We start from the raw sequence: 23,593 nt of genomic DNA, 5'->3' as shown, positions 1-23,593 counted from the left end.
CTTGACTGGCCCTGAATCAAACTCACCTCCACAGACCCGCCAGCTCCCTCCTTCAATTTCTTAGCAAGCTACCTTGCTTGTAGGTGTTGAGTAAATGATTACTAAGTCACGTTGGTCTGAGAGCCACAGTTCGTGGACACTCAGCCAAGTATCTTCTAAAACATGCCATGTTGCCTGCCTCTGACAAGCTCAGAAGTGTGCAATCCCCAGAGCAAGCAAAATGGTTTCAGCCACCTCCAAATCCATCAAGCTTTTTACTAGACCAGCTGAACGTGCAGCAAAGGAGAAGAGGCATGAAGGAAAGGAGAGGAAGAGCAAAGGGCATGGACTGCAAATTGGATGAACAGCATGCTTGTGAGCTCAGGAGCACTGGTATTATCATTCCAGTTTTACAAGTAAGAAATTTGCAGTGCAGCAATTCAACAGCTGGCCGAGGGCCTCAGACAGAGTCCCTGATGGAGCAAACAGGTCTCAGTGCTGCCACCTTTTCGGCTACTGCTTTTACCACTGTGGTAAAATGTTGTATAGACAAAGTCTCCATACGTGCCATCCATGGGGCAGGCCCACTGAACCTATTGCAGAGGATAGGAGGCATCTGGAAAGAAAGAGCCACAGAAGCTACTTACAGCAAAGGTTTATACCGAGTTTATACTCAGCCAGTAATGTCTGAGTGAAAGCATGGCAGAAAGATTGATGAGACAGCGCTGTGTAACTCCAGAGGCAACCCCAGGCACTTATCAAATGGGAATTTTAAAAAATCCCTTTAAACACACGAGGACTCAGATGCCAGCACACGTTTTGATGGCCCCAGCCAGACAGCAAAGGCATATTGGCACCACTGTAATTTGTCCATTCACCAATATGCTTCCCAGAAAGCACCCATATGCTTTCTTTTAGCATCCATATGCTTTTTGAGCAAGGAAACTAAAATATTTCATTAGTTTTGAGTAATTAATAATTACTTATTTCACAATAGTCACCCTCATTAAAAAGCAAAAATAACTGATTAAGCTGCAGGATCCTGGCTTTCAACTCAGGCTTTTTAAATTTTTTTAAAAAAATTCTTCCCCTCTAGGAATTGAGTAATAGGGTAAAGCAGCCAGTGTGGAAATATTCACACTACAGGGAATGAACAGTTATCACCCACAACCCAGCATTCCTCTTGACTGAGACATCGTGGTTTAATGAAAAGAACATGGACTTTGGATCAGAAAGACTTAGAATCCAATCCCAGTTTGACCCCTTCTGAATAGTAACTTCTAAGGAAATGAAGGGTGTTAAAAAGATAAAGCCTGCTGGATCCCTTCAACCCAGTCTTCCATTATTCCCAAGGAGTGACTTCACAGCATCCCCGCCCCCCGGACCCCGCTATCTCAAGGCATGGTACAGCATGCCCCAAGAATGCTGGCAGCATGCCAGGCATTGTCAGCACACCACAGCAATAGCCTTGAAATAGGGCGAGGGCCGAAGTGAATGTTTCTCAAACACTAATGAGCATATGAACTACCTGGGGCTCTTGTTAAAGTAGAGATTCTCATTCAGAAGTTCTAGAGTATGATCTGAGATTTGCATTTCTAACAAGCTCCCATGTAATGCTGATGCTTCCGGTCCTCAGACCAAACTTTGAGAAGCAAGAGACTTACAACTGTCAAGATGAAGTTAGGAAATAGAATCTTGAAAAGCAGAACATCTGTGCCTGTCTCATTGGGCTGTGATAAGGATTATTAATCAGATGGGTGATAGTATTTCTGTATATTGAACAGTACACTGGTATAGTCCTGTTAAAAGGGTATGGTTTCAGCCACGCACGGTGGCTCATGCCTGTAATCCCAGCAATTTGGGAGGCTGAGGCAGGTGGATCACCTGAGGTCAGGAGTTTGAGACCAGCCTGGCCAACATGGTGAAACCTTGTCTCTACTAAAAATACAAAAAATTAGCTGGGCGTGGTGGCTCATGCCTGTAATCCCAGCTACTACAGAGGCTGAAGCAGGAGAATCGCTTGAACCCAGGAGGCAGAGGTTGCAGTGAGCCAAGGTCATGCCGGTGCACTCCAGCCTGAGCAATAAGAGCAAAACTCCATCTCAAAAAAAAAAGAAAGAAAGAAAAGAAAAAGGGTATGGTTTCTATTACAGACAACAAACCTGAGACCCAAGTAAATCAAGTAACTTATCCAAGGCCACACAACTAATCCTGCTGACCTTCAAATACAGGTTTATCTGCCTGTCAAGCCTATCAGTGTGAGTATATGCCAACGGAAAGGTAGGAAATAAAAGTAGATACTACTGTAGATTGCTGGTATAAAGCCTTGTTCTTGTTTTGCCATTATTCTCAGAGAGCCATTAACCTGCTGTGTGAATTTTAGTAAGTCTTACCCCTTCTAACCACCTCCATTTCTGCATCTGCAAGGTGAAGGTACTGCCATTGAGAAACTCCGAGGCGTCTTCCATCTCTGACCTGCCTTTCACTCTTCTGGCCCCCCCACACACTCACAGTGGGTCATCAGGTGCTAAGCTTTAGCTTCACACATGTGGCAGTCATCACAATTTGGCAGCATCCAAATTCTAGCTGCTCACATCTGCATTTGTGCTGATCTGTGCGTGGTCAGAAGTTATCTCTGTTAAAAGTCTCAAGCTCAATATAATGGGGGGGTAGGCCGGGAGGAGGGGAACAAAATAGATGACCCAAAGCACTGAAATTCCTATTTAGGTGAAAACTCAGTATGATCAGGGCACTATGACCCTAACTACTCTTCATCTCCTCATCTCACTTACCAAATGAAGATATTGAGAGCACTAACCTGACAGAAGTTTGAAGAACAAGAAAAAAACTGAGTTATGCATAATGTGTTTCATATGATTATCTAGCTTTTTTTATTCTTTCTTAAGGAGCCAGATAAACACGTAGTTAACGAATTATGATATGAAGTAATTCATAATGTATGATCTTGTCCCTTCCTAAAATCCCATAGTACACATTCTCTGTATTCCTCTGGGGCCCATCTACCATTTTCTACCAGAAATTTCCATGGTTTATGAACTTGCATCATTGTCTCTATTTGTCTTCAATGTTATCTCTGGAGGTATTCACATATTTTGGAGTAAATCCGGATTTAAATCCAGATTTTATATTTATTAGCTGTAAAACTTTGGGCAAATTACTCAACCTCTCTGAGCACCTAGCAATTTTCTATTTTATAGGATTATATACAATAATGTATTGAGATGTCTAGCATTTAGCAAATTCTGAATTAAAATTGAATTTGAATGCATGAGTGAATGAATGAAGTAGAATAAGAGTTTCAATATTAAAATATCACTCAATAGTTTGAGATACATACATGCCAAAAGTCATGCTACAAAACGAGCCTAACACTCAGAGTATAACAATAGGTGACTACGGGGAAAATCCAACAGCAAAAGGAAATGTATGCCACTCAAATGTCATCTCATACTTCCCACATAGAATGAAAACTTTTGCTTAACTCATGGATGGCCTTCAGAGCATCTACAAACCTCCTAAACTTGTTGATAGCATTTTCTGGAGTTCTGCATTTTCCAACTATTTCATAAATTCATCTGAGTTTCTGAAAATTCCATAATCCTCACATCTGCCCCAAACACAGGATCATGTGTATGCACGTGTGCACGCACATACACACACGTATATTAAGAACTACTACTTTAGGCCAGGCACGGTGGCTCACACCTGTAATCCCAGCACTTTGGTAGGCCGAGGCGGGTGGACTCCTGAGGTCAGGAGTTTGAGAGCAGCCTGACCAACATGGTGAAACCCCATCTCTACTTAAAAAAAAAAAAAAAAATTAGCTGGGCGTGGGGGTGTGCACCTGTAGTCCCAGCTACTTGGGAGGCTGAGACAGGAGAATTGCTTGAACCTGGGAGGCGGAGGCTGCAGTAAACCAAGATCGTGCCACTGCACTCCAGCCTGGGTGACAGAGCGAGACTCCGTCTCAAAAAAAAAAAAAAAAAAAAAAAAAAGATTTGCTACTTTAGGCAGGTCCCTGGACAGAAAGGGACTGTCAAATAAAAGAGAAAAAGTAGATTTAATAAAACAAGGCTGAAAGCTGCAAACATACTGTTTGGAAAGTATGGGTAGTGGAACTTATAATGATGACCATCTCAAACCAGAAAAAGGGGCTCTGAATTCAAGATCTGGCTTGGCTGCACATTCGCTGCAGGTCCTTGGGCAAATCTGAGACTCATGAAAATCAGAGGGTTCCTTTGACATCATCTATGCCACCCTCCTCCTCCCATCTCACAGATGGAGAAAGTGCAGCTCAGAGGAAAGTTAGGCATTCACTAAACTCATAGCAAATTAATTAGAGCCAGGATTTGAACCTCAGACTCAGTCAACTGATTTCTACTCTTTGAACCTCTGTACTGTGAGGTTCCAGGTAAGTGCTTAGGTCCAGTGGTCTCTAAGCACCTTCTATCGGATGGGTAACAATTACTACACTCTTCTCCAGACCTGGAAGCCCCCATGTACATGTGAGTTTCATTTTGGCAATGATTATACTAGCTGTTTCTCAGTCCCAGCCCATCCCCACAAGAATAAGGCAGAAGGGTCTGAAATAAGAGAGAAGGGTCTGAAAGGGTGAGAGACACTGCTATTAATGCTGTGTAGCCCAGCAATTGGGAATCGCAGGCCTTGAACTAGACTTCATTGTGTTGGCTATTATTCTTCTGTCCTCTTGCTTATAAATCCCTCATCTGTCTTCTTTTTTTTAATGTTCCCCAACAATGTGCAGGAAACAGGAGCTCATTCTCAGATTCCTATAATTCACTGATTCAGAAAAGGGCAGGAGGCGGGTGGAGGAGAGTGATGATGTCAGCGTCAAACAACCTCTTACAGGAAGAACTGCAAGGGAATCCACAGTCTTTTAATAAACACGGAAAGCAGAAGGTAGCCGGAACCCTCTGTGCCATGTCTTCATGAAATTAATGAAGATACCTGGAGTCCATTTATGTTTAAGGACATCTCACATCCCCATGCTGAAAATGAAATTGGTTTTGCCTGGAAGATAATGGCCTTTTAAGAACTAGGAAGTGAAAGGATAGTTTATAGAAAAAGATTTCTCTACTTAAAGATACAACTATGTAGTCAGAAGAATTCTAGTCCAAGATCAGTCAAAAACACTTTAGACAAATCAGATTCCCTCCCAGACACTAAAATCTCCATCTGTGACATGAAATAATTTGTTTAGATTACTTCGTGAAGTCCCCTCTGGCTTTGACATTCTGATCTCCTTTACAGATCCAGTGATTTGCTCTGGAAAAATCAAATAATGGAAGAAGCATCCACCTCTTCCTAACGGTCTTAATAGGGGGGAAGTTTACCAGATCCTCTCATAAGACCCAGATCAGGGAACAATGTCACAGAGTAAAGAAATGTGGAGGAAAACAGCTTTTCTTTCCTAACAAGGAATTGCAAGTTGCTGGGGTAAGGGACTACCGCTACCGGTGTATAAATGCCCATTCTTACAGTATATATAATAAAAGTCATTAACTGCATGTCTGGTATGTAAAAGAAGCAAAAGCTAAGCAGAAAAATAACTAATTTTCCACAGTGGCTGTGCAGTAGAGTCATAGGACTGTCCTATGATTTTGGAAACATGGCACCAGGAGAGAGAAGGGACTAGCTAGGAAATAAAATCATATATAAGAGAACATTTAACCGGAAGTAATGCCATGATCAACTGGTCCAACTTTGTCATTAGATGATGAAACAGACCTCATAGAGGGAAGGTGACTTGCCTAGGTGACACAGCCAGGTGACATTACAGCTGGGATTAGAAAAGGATTCTCATGGCTTCTGGTGCACATAACATACAACATACTGCTTTGCTCCCAAAAACAATGTGATTCTATTCAGGTTATTACAGAGGTAATTTCACTTATAACTACTGCCTCTACCTCCACTTCAAAAAACGGTAACTGATTAATTTTATTTAAAGCAGACTAGGACTGTTTCCACCAAATTATAATAAACAATTCACTCTGGCAATATAGACAAGTCCATGAGATTTAATTGGGTATTATTCATCCTTGCTAATGAATCACCCTGTGGAAAACAGGGATAATCAACCGTCTACAAGAGGCCAGAAGCCTGTTCTCGTTCAAGTACAGATCTTGCCTATTAAAGAACATTAGGTATCAGCTCTAAATAGTAAACAGGGTATACTGTTGCAGATTCCGTGGAGTGCAGCTTTAAATAGATTTGGTTTGGAAATGGGACAGAGAACACACCGCAGTCAGTGGATCAACGTTGAGAGCAGAGAAAAACAATGATTACACTCATTAAGTGGGTACCTGTTGACACATTTACTGTCAAGTCTAATTATTTATTGAAACTGTTATTCTTTCTTCATTACTGCCACTGATACCAATTATTGCCACAGGATTATTTTAAATTTCTACAGCATGCTCCCAGACTATTTACTTCTCCACCTCCCAAAGGTTACTTGAGAGGTTTCTATCATTCCCTCTCTACCATTCCCCACCTCCAAAATATAACGAAAAGAGAAAGAGAGAAAATTCCTCTTTCTTGAGAGTAATTTTTGTAACCTTTCAGGGCTTGCTTAAAACTCCTCTTGATAGTTTCAAGATGGGTTTCTGTGGGGACAGGGGATACAGTTAATTACTTTTCAAAGCTTATTCTATTAATATTTAACAATTGGCATCGGAGGGAAGGTTAGTGTGATAACTGCAGTTTCTAAATGAACAAGTTAGATCTCTGCCTCACAGAGCTGTCAAAAACTATGATAGTAGGTATCTACAGTACATTCTTTTCTGATATATTTATCCGTAAAAATAAAACATTAGAAATAAGTTTTTGCAGGGTTATTTTGTGGACTAGAAAAGAAATAAAAGGTGGACAGGAGCCATTCTTACATTTTTTGCTACTACCTTTTTTAAAAACAATGTTCTCTTTTTCTGTGTTAGTTTGCTGAGAATGATGGCTTCCAAACACCGCATGTTCTCACTCAGAAGTGGGAGTTGAACGAGAACACATGGACACAGGGAGGGGAACATCACACATCGGGGCCCGTTGATGGGTGGAGGGCAAGGCAAGGACAAATACCTAATGCATGCGGTGCTTAAAACCTGGATGATGGGTGGATAGGGTGCAGCAACCACCATGGCACATGTATACCTACGTAAAAATCCTGCATGTTCTGCACATGTATCCAAGAACTTAAAGTAAAATAATAAGTAAATAAATAAATAAAAAACTTCCTGGGTAAACTAGCTTATATTCCACTTGAAAAATAAATAAATAATAATAAAAATAAAAACAATGTTCTTTTTTTGTAGGAATGAGAAGAAAATCTAAATAACTTAAGTGGCTGTTATGTCTGGTTTAATTACAGAAATTTCATAGTCCATACATAACCTACCTTGTCTGCACGTGTTCTTATTATATATATATGATATTAGCTTTGAAAATCATGTAAACCTGACACCTTAATTTCCTCTCAATTCTAAATTTTCTAAGTCCTACAAATTTGGGGCAATACCAACCAATTTTATTCTTCTCAAAGGTCTGTGCAACTGAAGTCATGGTTGCAGTTCGAGGTCATAGATATAACATACCAAAGGAATTAACAAAATATTCAGCAGAATACATGTGTATAGTACTCTAAATAATGATATCAAATCTTCTACAAAGTTACTATTCTACATATTGACTACTTCACCTCTTTTTGGTTAAGTTACATTACATAAAACACAGTAGAGCTCATTAGAAGGTACAGATTCAGCAGGTTGACTTTAGGAGAAAAATCGCATCTGGTAAATTTTACAACTATGATGCTTCCTTTAAATGTTTTTTCTCCATTGGCCTCCATTTTCTTGGCAAACTCAAGACAAATGTATTCTTCTGCCAAGGATTGGTGTCATTCCCAACAGTCCCCCAGGAGAGTGGCATTCAGATACAATGGATGCAAGGTTTCAAAAGACTAACTCAATTTTCTGTGTTCTTAGGATTTTTCTGTTGTGGCTTTGGATTCTAGCTTTTTGAGATGATTTTGTTTGGCAGCTAAGAGAGAGTGACTGACCCAGCCATAAATATTTGGCCCCTTCAGAGCCAGGTAACACTGGCAGTATAGTGTAGTCAAAAATGCGCTCAATCAAGGGTTAGGAAACCAGGTAAAAAGCCCTCCTGCCACATACTAGTTGAGGATACAATAAAATAATGGTTAAGCACATTCTACTCCATTGCATTTTATGGACACTTAAATACATACACATTAAATCTGAATCGTCTGTGTGGCCCAGATTTTTGGTTTTGGTATTAAACCTTAAGGGCTATGAATTAAAAGGGAAAAAAATAAATCAAAAAAACAAAAATAAAAAGAGAGGTCAGCTCACTGTCTTGGCCATTTTTCAGTTCTTTTCCTCATAAAGTACTTTGTATTTCTTCTATTCTTTGTATTTCTTCTAAAATCAACATTACTGGCTCAGATGCCTATTAGTATTTCATAAACAAGAAGACACGCCTCCTCTCTTACCTCAGATAGCTGGCTCCTGGAATGGATGGTTGACACAAGGTTCAGCCAACTGCAATGCTAGTGTTTACAAATGAAATAAGTAAAAATTACTTCCAGACACCAAACCCATATTTATTCATTAATAGTCATAACCTCTTATATCTACATAATGGTTTCTTGTTTTACAAAACATTTTCACATTCATTGCACCCCACAGGAACCCGATGAAGAAGCAGGAAGAGATGATTCTACTGGCTTCATAGGTGAGGAAACAGAAGCTCAAAGAGGGACAGAAAGGATGAGAAAGGAACTAACACCATCCTCATGATTAACTTTACAGAAACCATATAAAATGAATATTATTGTCCACATTTTACAGAAGTAGAAACTGAAGTTCACAAAAGGAAAGTAATTTGCCCAAGATTACACAGTTTAGTATCTGGCAGGGCATGAATTTGGAGCCAAAGTTTGTGCCTGCTAGTCCAGTAATCCTTCCTTTCTACTTCAGTTTTTCCTAGGTTATTAGGCTAGGGAAAGACAAAGACAAACAGCAACTCATTGTCTTAATTCACAAGGCTTGGTGGAGAGAGAAAATAAAATAAAACCAGCTATTTGATTGAAATGAGGAAATGGGAAAAGTACATAGGATTTCGAGCCAGTCAGATTTCCTTTAATCAATGGCCTTAGGCAAGTTATTTAAACTCCATGAGTGTCAATTTCTTCATATGTATGTGAAGATTATGATATATACTCCATAGCCAAAGTTGCCCTTAGTTAAACTTTTTAAATAAGATTTCTCTCCATTATTCCATATATATGGTTATAGAGAGCAGTGATAACATTTCTTCCCATAAATCCACATTTATATGATCAAAAGATAACATTATAAGCACATTAGGCAAGAGAATATCTCTTTGACTTATGTTTCCTAGTTTTAAAACACCGAAATATTAATCTATGTCACTCTCACATGACCTCATCTAACAAGAGACAGCCCAAAAACTTTTAAGATTTTAAAATCAAAAGTTTCCTTGACCCCTAAAAAGCAAAACAGATACTGCTTTAGTTGAAAGACCTGCTGATGAATCGCACATCATTTTCAACTTTGTGCCCATAATCATGCCCTAGGTTCAGAGAGTTGGAGTTTCCACCAGACTCTAAGAACAAAGCAAATTTGTTTTAATAGAATGGATGGATTTATTGAGAAATATAAGACTTCTAGGAAGTTTTGATAAAATGTCCCGTTTACATAAAGGACTCAAAACAGGTTAAGAAAAGAACATGGATCCTGCAACTATACCCCTGAACTTAAAATAAAAGTTTCAAAAAAAAAAAAAAAAAAAAGAGCATGATTGATCAGATGCCCTGCAAGAAACTTGTCATCTACCACCAAATGAAAACATTAATCATCTTTTAACATCATGCTTTATTTTATAGCTTGAAAAATCACAATGACCATTATGTCTCAAACCATTCCCTTTATAACTCCAATGAGACCTTATTACCCAAATTTTACAAATACAAAAACCAAACTTCAAAGATCACATGGTTAACATGGAGCAGATAAAAATGTAACACTGTATCTTGATACCAAAATCAGTAAGCACCCTCCTACTACATGACGTAGCCTCCCAATTGCTATTTGAAGAGGGTAACTAAACAACTTCAGGAAAGGGAAACCGAGTGTATAGCACAGAAAATTCAATTGTCGAAGCACTAACACACACTTAGTTCTAAGTTCTGCTTTATTAGCAAGTGAAAGGAGAAAGAGTAGACTTCACATCTGTGGTCTAACCAGAAGGTGACACATTACTAAGCTAAGGCAAAAGGAGTGTTTGATGCAGTGTTACCATAAACACTTTCTCAGATCTCACCAGGAAAGTTTCAAGATGCAACATCCCTGGGCAAAGTGTCGAAGCACAAGCCATATACGCAAGTCTGTACCAGTGAAGTTTTGTGAAGAGTGTGATACAGTTTGACTGTGTCCACACCGAAAATGTCATCTTGAATTGTAAACCCCATGAGTCAAGGGTGATACCAGGTAGAAGTAATCCGATCATGGGGGCAATTTCCCCCATGCTGTTCTCATGATAGTGAGTGAGTCTCACGAGATCTGATAGTTTTATAAGCATCTGGCATTTCTCCTGCTGGCAGTCACTCTTTCCTGCCGCCCTGTGAAGAAGGTGCCTGTTCCTCCTTTGCCTTTCACCATGATTATAAGTTTCCTGAGGCCTCCCCAGCAATGTGGAACTGTGAGTCAATTAAACCTCTTTCTTTATAAATTACGTGGTCTCTGGCAGTTCTTTATAGCAGCGTGAGAATGGACTAATACAAATCCTTCACCAATCAGTCTCATTTTAAGCAATAGGAAAGCTGAAGTCTTTCTAGCTAAGAAGTTCACCAGCCCTCTTCACGTGGATTGAGTGGCATGTGTCCTGAGTAGCTCCTGAGTGTTTCATAATGCAATGGAGTTTTCCATAATTCCATACAGACATCTGGGACAACTGACAAATCCCACTCTAGCCTTTTGGTAATGAAGCCAGTTATCCTTGGCTGCCTCTGTGTATTTTATAACTAACTGCTGACCCAGAACCTGACATGTCTGCATCCTTTGTCAAACCATCCATCCTCTCTCCCCTCAAAAATATGCTCACCCTCAGAAGCAATTTTACAGAAGCAACTATATTTTGGAGAAAAACAGGATGGAGTAAATGAAGGTAAGATAATAAAGAGAGAGAAGCAAGAAAATAACAGGGGGTAAAGAAAAAGCAGAAGAAAATGGAATGACATGGAAATGAAAAGTGCAGAGATCAGCTGCAATGGGTTTTTCACAAACCATGGTGTCCTTTGAATTTTCCACCACACCTCACAACAAAATGTAACCATCCCTAAGATGATTATCTTAGTATTATGAACAAAAATTCTAAGTGTTATTGAACCAGTGTAAAGCTAACTCAAAATACTTGATATTTTGTAAGTGCTTTAGTACCTCAATAAGCAATATAAGAGTATCTTATAAAAACTCCCACTAAGTCAATAAACTGGTACCTCTTTCACCCTGGTGTCCAAGATATTCATTCCGAATAGGGGGAATCATATTGAAAAGAATAATGAAATGGGGATGGAGGAACTGGGTTCTGGTTTTAGTGCTGTAATTATCAAATCTTTTGATTAGAAGTTGCATAAAATACACATTCTGTGTTTCTCTTTTCACAGTTATCCCAAAACCACTGCGAAAAGGCCAATAATAATTTGGTCATTTTCATAAGTTTCATGTGGCAACAGAGGTAGTAGTAAAAGGATTACTTAACCTAACATTTATTAAAATAAAACAATGTTTTAAACATAGAAGTCTGTCCCCAGAAGCAACTGAAATGTTAAATCAGGCCAAAGGAATTAGATGACAAATATGGACTGCCCTGCATTCCAGTCATCAAATACCACATACAATTTAAAGTGCACTCTCATGCCACCCTAAGATACTTATCAAGAATACAAGGTATTCCATAGCTTATGATTTGGTTGTCTCATTAAAGTAATGTTTGCCAGGATTTAATTGCTTCCCTCTCTGATTTTAATTTCCACACCTGTCAGCATCTATCAGAGGCACTGAAATCTTCTGACATCTGGTTGATTGTGTTGAAATTAATCAGATTTTTTAAAAGTAAATTGCTTTGGCCTAAAGGTAATGCTCAACTTCTTAATGTTATATTTATAAGGGCTCTATCAATGGAATGTATAATCTAGAAATAAAATGAGAGACTTTAGGAATTCTGAGCAGAAATATAAGTAGCTTACAAATCTCCAGCACTGGACTTTTAAAGATAAGTACTTTAAGAGTGACATCAGTAGCATGGCCAACCAGAGGCCCCTAGCTCTCGTCTCTTTCACAAAGACAGCCACAACAACAATCAACAACTAAACTTTAACAAAAATAACTGGGCCAGGCACGATGGTTCGTGCCTGTAGTCCCGGCACTCTGGGAGGCCAAGGTGAGTGGATCTGTTGAGCTCTGGAGTTTGAGAGCAGCCTGGGCAACATAGGGAAACCCCATTGCTATATAGAAAAAAACAAAAAGATGAACTAAAAACAGAAGAAGAAAAAATAATAACTAAGGCAGTGTACCAGACTGCATCAGAGAAGTAACAGAAACCCTGGATAGCAAGAAACTCAGAATGACCACATAGAGAATAGAAACAAAACACCTGGTCTTTACCACCCATCACCCACTTGGGATCTGCTGGAAACAGGGAGGAACTTCTCTCTAGGGTAGAATGGTACACAAAAGGATCCCAGCAAGCCCCATCAACACCTTGAACAGCTACAGACCTCACCCATGGAGTCTCATGTAGTCCTCACAGGAGCCAAGTCCCAGCTGAGGGACCTGCCTGAAGTCCACATAGCCGTGCTTCCCCAAGAAAAAGAGCAACCAGTGTGACCTGCCCTCTGTGGCCTGCGCAGCTACTGCGCTATGCCGTCTTGGAAATGGAGCTTTGGCTGGAGTGTCTCTTGCTCTGGGAGTGCATAGCTATGACACTCCATCACTAAGGCTAAGCTACCGTTGAACCACCCGAACCCAGTGGCCCGACATCCCCAAGCCGAGCTGCCAGCAACTGTTCCACTCTTCCCCATGGGCCCAGGTGAAGGTAGAGTCACTTAATCTACCTTTCACCCTCCCCTTCAGGCCAGTGCTGAAGCAGTACCCTGCCTCCTGGGAAAACAGTACATTGGCCACTCAGAGCGGTCACGCACCCCAGTACTTAATCTGAAGTAGCACCCTTCATCCCAGGGAAATGGTACCTGGGCTGCCTAGAAAAGTCATGTCCCCCAGGCCTGAGCTGAAGTGGCATATTGTCCCTTGGTGAATTGGTGCCATCGCTCAGCTGAGCAGCTGTAAATCCCAAAGCTGAGCTGATGTGATAACCCACATCCTTGGAAAACTGAGCAGTGGCTGGGCTGATCTGAGACACTCCAGCCTAAAGGGAAAACAACTCTAATACGCTGTTTCCCTGGAGCTGGTCTACCTGCTTAGTGTCAGAGCTGCTAAGATACCCCTCTCCCTGTGGCATACAGCCACCACTGTGCTGTACTCTGCCCCCACTCAGGGCACAAGTAACAGCTGTATGTTGCCATTCTGGGGTACTGCTACCGCATGTGGTCTTACAGAGTCTAAGGTACTGCTGAGTCCCAACATCCAGGGGTCAAGAATCACTACTACATGGTGCCTCATCCCCTGAGATCCAAGTTGCCACTGAACCCTACTGGCTCATGTTGCCAAATCAGGGCATATCCTGCTCTCTGGGTCCAAACTTCCCTGCACTCCTTCTTTCCTGGAGTTGAGCCACTCACAGCTGGGACTGAGTTTGTAGAGTAATGTCTCAGAGTCACAAATCCTGGCTCTGTGGGAAGCCTACATCCAACCCTAGCACAGAGAGTGAACCTGTAACCCAAGACCCAGGTGTCACAATAGGTTGGCAAGATCCTGGGCATAAGACTCTAGTCCCACAGCCACTTCAAGCACCTGCACCTAGAACTCAGCACCACTGCACTTGCTTGTAGGTCATGTGATATCTGACATGAAGAGCAGTCCCCTTGGCTAAATCTCCCCATTATGAAAAAAATAAGAATAGGAGGACCTCAAAAGCCCTTGACACTGAGGACATTAATAATCTATGCCACCACCACCACTGCCACAAATTTCTACAACTTAAGCTACTGAGGTGCCCACAGTTATTGCTGACATTGAACGTAGCTTTAGAAGCTGCATGGAGACCCTATCACTGCATCTATTCAGAAACAAAGTCATCACACCCCTCCCAACTGTAACACCAACCCTAATTGCAAGCGGAAGTCTTTTTTTATGAAAACCACTCCAGAAAGTTTGTATAGAAGAGGTAATTGTTCCACCGGATGCAAAGACATCAACTCACTGACACAAGAAATATGAAAAAGCAATAAAATATGACACCACCAAAGGAATGTAGCTCTTTAGTTTCAGACTCCAGTAAAAAAGAAATCAATAAAATGCCAGAAAAGGAATTCAAAATAATGATCTTAAGGAACCTCAGTGAGATACAAGAAAATACAGATAGACAATTTTACTAAATCAAGAAAATAATTCACAATATGAAGAAGAAATTCAACAAAGATAGACATAATAAAAAAGAATAAATCTCAAAAATAAAGAATTTCATGAATGCATTCTTACCCTCATACCAAAACCAGACAAGGACAAACATGTAAAAAGAAAATTATAGGCCAGGATCTCTGATGAACATAGATGCAAAAATCCTCAACAAAATACTAGCAAACTGAATCCACCAATACATTTAAAGGAGCATTTACTATGATCAAGTGGTATTTATCCGAGGGATACAAGGATAGTTTAACACAGGTAAACCAATAAACGTGATACATTACCTCAACAAAACAAAGTACAAAAACCATGATTATCTCATTAGATGCAGAAAAAGCACTTCATAAAGTTCAACATTCCTTCATGATATAATATCTCAAGTCAGGTATAAAAGAAACATACCTTACCTCAGCATAATAAACACTTCACATGATAAACCCACAGTCATCAACATACTGGACACGTTCAAATTGAAAGGTTTCTTTTAAGCTCTGGAACAAGACAAAGATGCTCACTTTTACCACTTTTATTCAAGATAGTTCTTGAACAGGCGTATACACCAATGGGACAGAACAGAGAACCCAAAAATAAATCCACGTATTTACAGCCAACTGATTTTCAACAAAGGAAACAAGAAGAATCTCTTTAATAAATGGTGCTGGGAAAACTGGACATCCATATACAGAAAATGGAGCCACCATGAGATATCATCTAACCCAAGTTAGAATAGCTATTATCAGAGACAAAAAAAATAAGAAACGCTGGCAAAGATGCAAAGAAAAGGGAATTCATACACTGTTGGTGGGAATGTAAGTTAGTACAGCCATTATAGAAAATAGTATAGAGGTTCTTCAAAACACTAAAATTAGAAATATTGGCTGGGCATGGTGGCTCAGGCCTATAATCCCAGCACTTTGGGAGGCCAAGGTGGGCGGATCACGAGGTCAAGAGAAGGAGACCATCCTGGCCAATATGATGAAACCCCGTCTGTACTAAAAACACAAAAATTAGCCGGGCGTGGTAGCGCGCGTCTGTAGTCCCAGCTACTCGGGAGGCTGAGGCAGGAGAAACGCTTGAACCCAGGAGGCCAGGAGGCGGAGCTTGCAGTGAGCCAGATAGCACCACTGCACTCCAGCCTGGTGACACAGCAAAACTCCGTCTCAAAAAAAAAAAAAAAAAAAAGAAAGAAATATCGTAAGATCCAGCAATCCCACTGCTGGTCATATATCCAAAGGAAAAAAAAAAAACATTTTCAATAAGATATCTGCATTCCCATGTTTATTGCAGCACTAATTATAACAGCCAAGATAAGGAATCAATCTAAGTATCCATCAACAGATAAACAGGCAAAGAAAATGTGTTATATATTTACAATGTAATACTATTCAGCCATAAAAAAATGAATGAAATCTTGTCATTCACAGTAACATGGATAAGCCTGGAGGACATCATGTTAAGTGAAATAAGCCAGAAGCAGAAAGTTATTTGTCACATGTCCTTTCTCATATGTGGAAGCTGAAAGAAATCGATCACATAGAGAGTAAAATACTGATCACCAGAGGTGGAGAAAAGTAGCAGGAGGGGGAGGATAGCCAAAGGTTGGTAAATGGATACAAAAGTACAAAGGAGGAGTCAGTTCTAGTGTTCTACAGCACTATAGAATCACTATAATTACCAACAATTTATTGTATATTTTCAAGTAGCTAGAAGAGTGGCTTTTGAATGTTCCAAACACAAAGAAATAATAAACGTTTGAGGTGATGAATATGCTAAATACCTTCATTTGATCTTTACACATTGTATACATGTATCAAAATATCACACTGTACCCCGTAAACATGTACAATTATGTGTTAATTTAAAATAATAATAAAAGCAAAAAAGGTAAATACTTTTAAAAAATTCATTCAACAAATGCTCATTGAGCATATAGTGCTTGCAAGCAGGCACTTCAGGGTAGAGAGGAAAAAAACATGAAGCTATCTCAGAAAGTTTGGGGCAATAAGTAAGAATTAACTAATTAAGCAGAACTCACTTTAAGAGAAGTAGCCAATCCGGTCACTCAAAAGCTTAGTTTAATATTTATAATTGTTACCATCTGTATGCATTGTCCTTTCACACAGATAAATGATTTTATTCTTCACTGCAGCTCAGTGAGGCAAAACTGATACTGTTCCTAGTATATTCTCGTTTGACAAGTGACAAAGCTAAGGCACAGAGTAGTAAAGGAACTCTTTCCTAGACATCTAGTTAACGGCAGATCTGGTCTTGTGATATAAATAAAAGCAGACAACACAGCATGACCACTTTGCAATAGAGAAAAAATTCCTTCCAAATTCTCCAAATATAATTACTCAGTGCCAATTGTTGTGCTAATATCTATCAGATCAGATACAGTGCTTAAGACACTTATTTAAGGAAATCCACAAGCACTAAGCTTTTCTACAAGAAGTAAAGGGAATGATGAATAGAGAAATACTATGCAATATGTTCTACTATCATGAGATTATTTTTATGTACTTACATTGTTATTCTTACTTGGAAATATAGAAAAATTAATGTAATAATGACGCCCCAGAAGTGAGCCTATAATGTCACCACACCTATCTTTATGTTATTCTGTTGATTCTGATGCTTCCTTATTGAAAAGAAGAAGGAAAAATATGGCATGCATGCAACTGGGGTGGGAGGGTGGGGGTGAAGGTGAGGAGCCAAAGATAACACATGGAGCCTGGAGGTTGATTCTCACAAAATGGCTTTATAATCAAACAAAACCAAGCCCTAATATGGGTCTTACCTTTCTAGTAGAGTCTGAGGCCCTACTCAACATTTAGTGTCTCCCCGATAAGAAGCTTCTTAATGCAAAAATGTTCGATGAAGCAGCCTTTCTTAAAACTACCATAATGCCTAGTTTTATATCTGGATCACTAAAATTACCATATTGTTTTATCACTTTTAGTTGATCATGCATCTTGAATAGAGGCTCTTTGTCTAACACAGCTTCTTGAATCCGAACCCAAAGTCTATCCAGCATCTGGTCTTTAGTATGTACTCAAAAGAACATTCAATGAATGAATGAATGAGCAAATGAACAAAATGTTCTATGCAACTACTATAACACACACCTAGTTTAATGCATGTGATATAAGATGGGATTAGTAAGTGTTTGTGAAATTGAAATTAATTGAACTTTTAATTTTTTTAAATGTATTGTACAACTAAATGATTGTAAAGTTACTGAGTGATCAAGTGAAGCATTTAGCGAGGAGTTAAGTGACATGCAATGAGCCAGTCATCATTAACCCATTGGCAGGATGAAGTCACAATTTTCACAGGAAGATTAACAGAGGCTAAACACATGAGCAGAAATGTAGGCAGCAGCTGCGAAAATTCACATAGAAGAAAACATATTTGTCAAGAAAATCATGTTAAATTCTAGATATAAAAGTTTAGAAGGAAATCTAAACATGATGGTAACTTTTATAAGAGTATATACGTTATAAAATTTAAAGAGAGAAGAAAAGAGAGAAGGAAAGGAGGAGGGAAGAACTCTTGAAATAATTTTTAAAACCAAGTGCACATGTGTGAAAAAGAAAAGGAGTTGTTGGATAGATAAAAGATGAAATAATTGATCAAGCTAAACATAATATATTTTAGTAACTAAGCTAAGCATTTTATATCTTTAATCCTTAAAAATAGTCTTGGAATTTAATATTATATTCATTTTGCATCTTGGGAAACTGAGGTTTAGAAAGATTAAGTAACCTAATCAAGTTCACACATCTAATAAGCACCAGAATTCATATCTCAGCTTTCAGACTCATACACATACCATTTACTCATACTGCTCCTAGTACCATCAGAGATAAAATGTGGCCTTGAGGGAGTCCCTTAGAGTTGGACATCAGGACCAAAATCTAGAAAGTGATGTAGAAATGGGGAAAGCACCAAGAGGATGAGCATCCAAAGCCTTCTATGGGATGTAAGTAGCAAGAGAAGGTCTAAAGGAGGAAAGGAGGCAGATGGGGGAATTAGAGCTATCTTTGAGTATCTGGGGACATGTCATGTGTAAGCAATATTATACTTTTTCAAACTATGCAATGCTAGAAATATGGGGATTAAAATAATGGGAAAATCAGTTTTAGTGTAATACAAGGGAAAACATTAAACATGAAGCTGTCCAGCAGTAGAACAAATTGCCTTGCAAAGAGCTGCAAAAGTTCAAGTGGAGGCTACATAGCCATCTGTCAGAGAAGACATGTGATATCCTGGCAGTGGCTGGGAGTCTGCATTAAAAGATGGACATTGCAATTCTGGGTTTGGGAGATTTAGCAGCCCAATAGTGGGAGATACATAAAAGCTCAGATCTCCAGATAAAAATGTGAAGAACGCTCTCTAAAGAGGAGACCCCTGAGCAAAATCTATTCAACATATCCATGGGGCTCCTATGATACACCAAGCATGAGATAGCACCATCCTCAAGAAGCTGAGACAAGGAGGCAGAAAACAGGCATTTTGAAGGGGTCAATCAGCTATCACTATGCAATTTGCGAGCCTAATATAAATGGCTAGAAAAAAACAAATGTAGAAGTCTCAGGAAGAAAAAATAAGAAGACTAAATGGTCTTCTGGTGAAAGTAAGGGCAAAACACATCAGTTTTGTGGGAAAAAAAATTAAAAAGAGTAAGTCACCAAGGCCTAGGATTCTTACGTATTTATTTATTTATTTATTTATTTATTTATTTACTTACTTACTTACTTACTTACTGACTGACTGACTGACTTATTCTGAGGCAGTATCTCCCTCTGTTGCCCAGGCTGTAATGTAATAGCACGATCTCGGCTCACTGCAATCTCTGCCTCTCAGGCTCAAGTGATATTCCCACCTCAGCCTCCTGAGTAGTTGGGGCTACAGGCATGGGCCACCATGCCCAGCTCATTTTTGTGTTTTTTGTAGAGACAAGGTTTTACCATGTTGCTGGGATTATAAGCATGAGGCACCATGCCTGGCCAGGCCTAGGATTGAGGAAGAGCTCATTCAGAAGGGTAACCTGAGGTCTAATCAAATCATACTTTGGGATAGGAAAGAAAGACATGAAAGAAGAATCAGGAAAAAAGCTAATAAACAAAGTTTGACTCAAAAAGCTCACAGGTGGGGGAAGGCAACTGAACGGTGAATGAGAACTAGGAAAAAAACAAGACCTTGCAAAAGAACATCCAATTAAGTTGAAAATGAAAGCACAATACATTTGAAAGTTTGCAAGCCTCCTTCCACAGCTTATCAGATTTACTCACATATGTTCACACGCAGCATTGTCTGCAAACCTTAGCTCCCCAAAAAGTTACTCTATAACATAAGAGACATATTTAAAAGAACATGTAGTATTCTAAGTCCACTTCTATTGACTTTCTCAGCATTCTTCAATACAGTCTCATAGACTGACTACTGTTTAGTGAAGAAAACAAGTCACATAAAATATCAACATAACCAAAAGCAAAGTTAAGAGCAAGTTTTATTGGGCAACCTCTTTCTAGAAGGAAAGGGGAGGAGACAGGGAGAGAGAAAGAGAAGGATGGGGAGGGAGAGCAAGAAACTTTAATAGAGAATAATTGGGGAGCAAAGGGCACAGTTTGCCTAGTAAGATGGGTTATAGTGATATAAAGGATGATAATTGCTTGCACAATTTTCTTTCCTGTGACTTTTAACAACTTTAATTTAGGTAAAGAATGGCATGGGTCCTTCAACGAAAACTCACTGATTCTTCCTTCCCCACAAAGCTAGAATTCCATCTTATTCAGAAAATGAACAGTCAACTGTACCTTTAACTTCGCTTCCCCTGTGTCTTGGCAAATACAACACATGTTTTGTTTAAAAAGGCATGAGTGGTTACCATTGAAAAGCAGAAGAGATAGTAGTGGTGAGCGGAGAGTAGGGAAAATATGCAAAAGGTTTAACATTTTTTAAAAAACGGAATTATTCCCAAAAAGTTCAATAATTATACAGGTTTTGTATCCCTAACCCAAAATCTGAAATTCAAAATGCTCCAAAATCCAGAAGTTTCAAGGACAGACAGGACGCTGAAAGCTCACTGGGGCATTTTGGGTTTCATGTTTTTTGATCAGGAATGTAAACCAGTAAGTTTAATGAAAATATTCCAAAATTAGGAAAAATCTGATGTCTGAAACACTTTTGATCCCAAGCATTTCAGATAAAAGATATACAAACTATATATATTTGTCATCACCATCTCTGACAAAGAAGTTTGGAATTCCTTGAGTTACCTTTAAATTCCTGAAAGTGGAGCAGGAAATCAAAAGAAAAGAAAGAAGAGTTAAGTAACAATAGGTTCTTGTCCCAGCTCCGCCACTAACTTGTGCTGCCATCTTAGACACATCTTTCCACCACTCTCCTCTCCTGTCAAATGAAGGGACTGGACTCAATGAGTGGCTGTTAATGTGTGACCCATACATGTGTAGGAGTCCCTTAGACCTTTCAAGAGTCCACAAGTTCAAAATTATTTTCATAATCATACTAAGAAGCCGTTTCCCTGTGTTGAAATTTACATTAATGCTACAAAAATAACAGTGGGTAAAAAAACTGTTGCAGTCTTAAAGTGAATCAAGGGAGTGATTTCACTGTAAGACACATACAATAAGCGGGACAGGGAGCCAGTTTCACTTAAGACTCTCTTTAATGCATTGAAACGTATCAATCTTATTAAATCTCAGTCCTTGAGTACTGTCTGACTAGGTTTTACTAAAGAAACCTGATCACATAAAATGTTAGCATAATCAAAAAGTAGACATATTTTTAATATTCTTGAGTACACATCTTTTTTACATTCTGTGTGACCTCTGGGAAGTACCATGAAACACCTGCTGAAGATCAAACTACGATGATTGTCTCTAAGAAATGCACTTTGTGTAACTGTTTAAATTGACAGCTGCTAACCAATCGCTTTTTTCATGGAACATCATTTTTATTTGAAACAATGACTGACGAACTATGGTTCTTTAAATGTGGGTTTTGCCGGAGATTTTCTCAAAAATAAAGCAAGAGAGCTTATCGTTTCAAGGAAAACAACAGTATTTGTAGCCAAAAATAAAATTCATGTTTTCAAGTAAAAATCAGAATTTTGAAAACCTTACATCTACTACTGTGCACTTGACACCTTTCTAATATTTCAAATGCTTTTTTGATGAATGAGCAGTGATATTAATGAAGATGACTTTTTATATTATAGAATGAAATGATCAGTGTTTGCAAGAACTGAATAAGTGAGTGACCAACGACTTTCTAAATGACCAATGCATGATTTTACAAAATCATAGGAGACTCAATCAAAGTGAAAATTTGACCAATGGATTTTAATATAATAGGGTATAAAAAGTCCATTAATATGATTTCACATTCCACATTGAAACTAACCTATAAGAAACTACTAACTTTAGGTAATGTGAAAACTGTCAAGTTTTGGTATAGTATCAAAGAAGAAAATCCACAATTACTTTTTATCCTTCCTTTTTCAAATACATAGCTGTGAGAGACTGGATTTTCTTCATAAACATCAATCAAAACAATATTTCACAACAAATTAAATGCAGAATCCAGCTCCCACTTTTGTCACTATTTTTTCACAAATATATTTATTTTTTATACAAATATTTTTCATTAAAATTGTAGTTTCATTTCTTACTTTTTTGAATATGGTAAATATCATTATACATAATGCATGCAAACAAAAGCTCATTTTTAAGAACATAAAGGAGTTCAGAGATGAAACCACTGAACTAGACAGGACTTATGTTCCCTCTCTCCCTAGCACTAATCTACTTTGGCTCTAAACCACTAGGAAAGATAAAGAGTAGCTCATCTCTACTTTCAGACGCTGCTACCTGTCTATCTTTATATAGCTGCTACTTTCTTGAGCCTCTGGAAACACTGAAACATCTGTATGATGTCACCATACAAGAGGCCACTGGTCAGTAAAAAAAATACTCACTGTGTGCCTTCCATGGAACAGGCAGTGGTTACTAGGACCTGTATCAGAATTCAGACTCCACTACTGCTCCACTTATATGCTTCTTCAAAAGACAGTATCTCTCCAAACCTGTTTCTTTAACGTAAAATAAGAATACAATGGGAACTACCTCATAAGATTTCTGTGTAGATCCAATATAAGGATCCATTAAGGAGCTTACTATATACAGTGCCTAGCATGTAGTAAACACTCCATAAATCCTACAAACTGTTATTATAACTAAGATATCTCTTACCAAAAAAACACTTTTGGCAATGTTCACGAAAGAGATAATGGTAGTCTAACCGTATATTATTAGAGGCTCATAAACTATCCCAGTTGCAGACTCATTCAGTTAGATAAAAATAGAGAAGCGAAAGTATCCAGGAGTACTGGCTTTTCTCACCTCAAGAGCAGAAGAATCAGTCTTTGGCCAGGAATGAAATCAGTGTTGTAATCATGACCCAGCCACTACATTAATTCCTAAACTTTATGTGGTCAAATGAGTTGATACACAACATCATTCTCAGCACTATGTTGACAGGACAGAGGATGATAAGAAAGTAAGAATTTAATCTACATTCTTGAATAAAGAGAAGAGTTTCGTTTTTCCTTTGTTTGGGCAAAAAGTCACGTTCATTGTGTCTCTTTACTTCATTTAAAATCCAGAAGAATTGAGATTGAGGAAAAATAAGAATGCTTATCAAACAGAGGTCAGACCCAAAGAAAAAAGAATGCCCTCACAATACTAAGAATAGAATACAAGCAGGAAACAGGGGAGGATCTCCATGATATATAATTTTAAATTAGAAATATAATTCTGAAGAACAGACAGGTACATACCTACAATGTCTTTATAAATATATAAAGAAACTAATCATTAAACTAGTTATATTAGTAAGGCCCAGTTTCATTTTCAATAGAAAAAGCA

At 38.7% G+C, this 23,593-nt stretch overlaps 1 protein-coding gene across 57 annotated transcripts in view; it reads right to left on the bottom strand.

The window, feature by feature from the left end:
* Positions 1-23,593, bottom strand: part of LPP (LIM domain containing preferred translocation partner in lipoma) — a 737,651-nt gene that overhangs the window by 540,425 nt on the left and 173,633 nt on the right. For 18 of the 57 annotated variants that reach the window (NM_001387667.1, NM_001387665.1, NM_001387664.1 and 15 more), the window contains one exon: positions 8,528-8,584. The exons of 27 other annotated variants lie outside the window; for them this stretch is intronic. Coding sequence is in view for 2 of the 30 variants with exons in the window: in XM_047448097.1 (XP_047304053.1) it covers positions 8,528-8,584 (57 nt within the window). In the remaining 28 variants the exon portion in view is untranslated. Of the gene's footprint in view, positions 1-8,527; positions 8,592-15,044; positions 15,134-23,593 lie in introns of all 57 variants that reach the window. 12 more of the 57 variants (XM_047448103.1, XM_047448102.1, XM_047448107.1 and 9 more) reach the window with 5 other exon arrangements.

Source organism: Homo sapiens, chromosome 3 (assembly GCF_000001405.40).
Source record: "Homo sapiens chromosome 3, GRCh38.p14 Primary Assembly".
Classification (NCBI taxonomy): Eukaryota; Metazoa; Chordata; class Mammalia; order Primates; family Hominidae; genus Homo; species Homo sapiens.
This window is presented reverse-complemented; position numbering and strand designations above follow the sequence as displayed.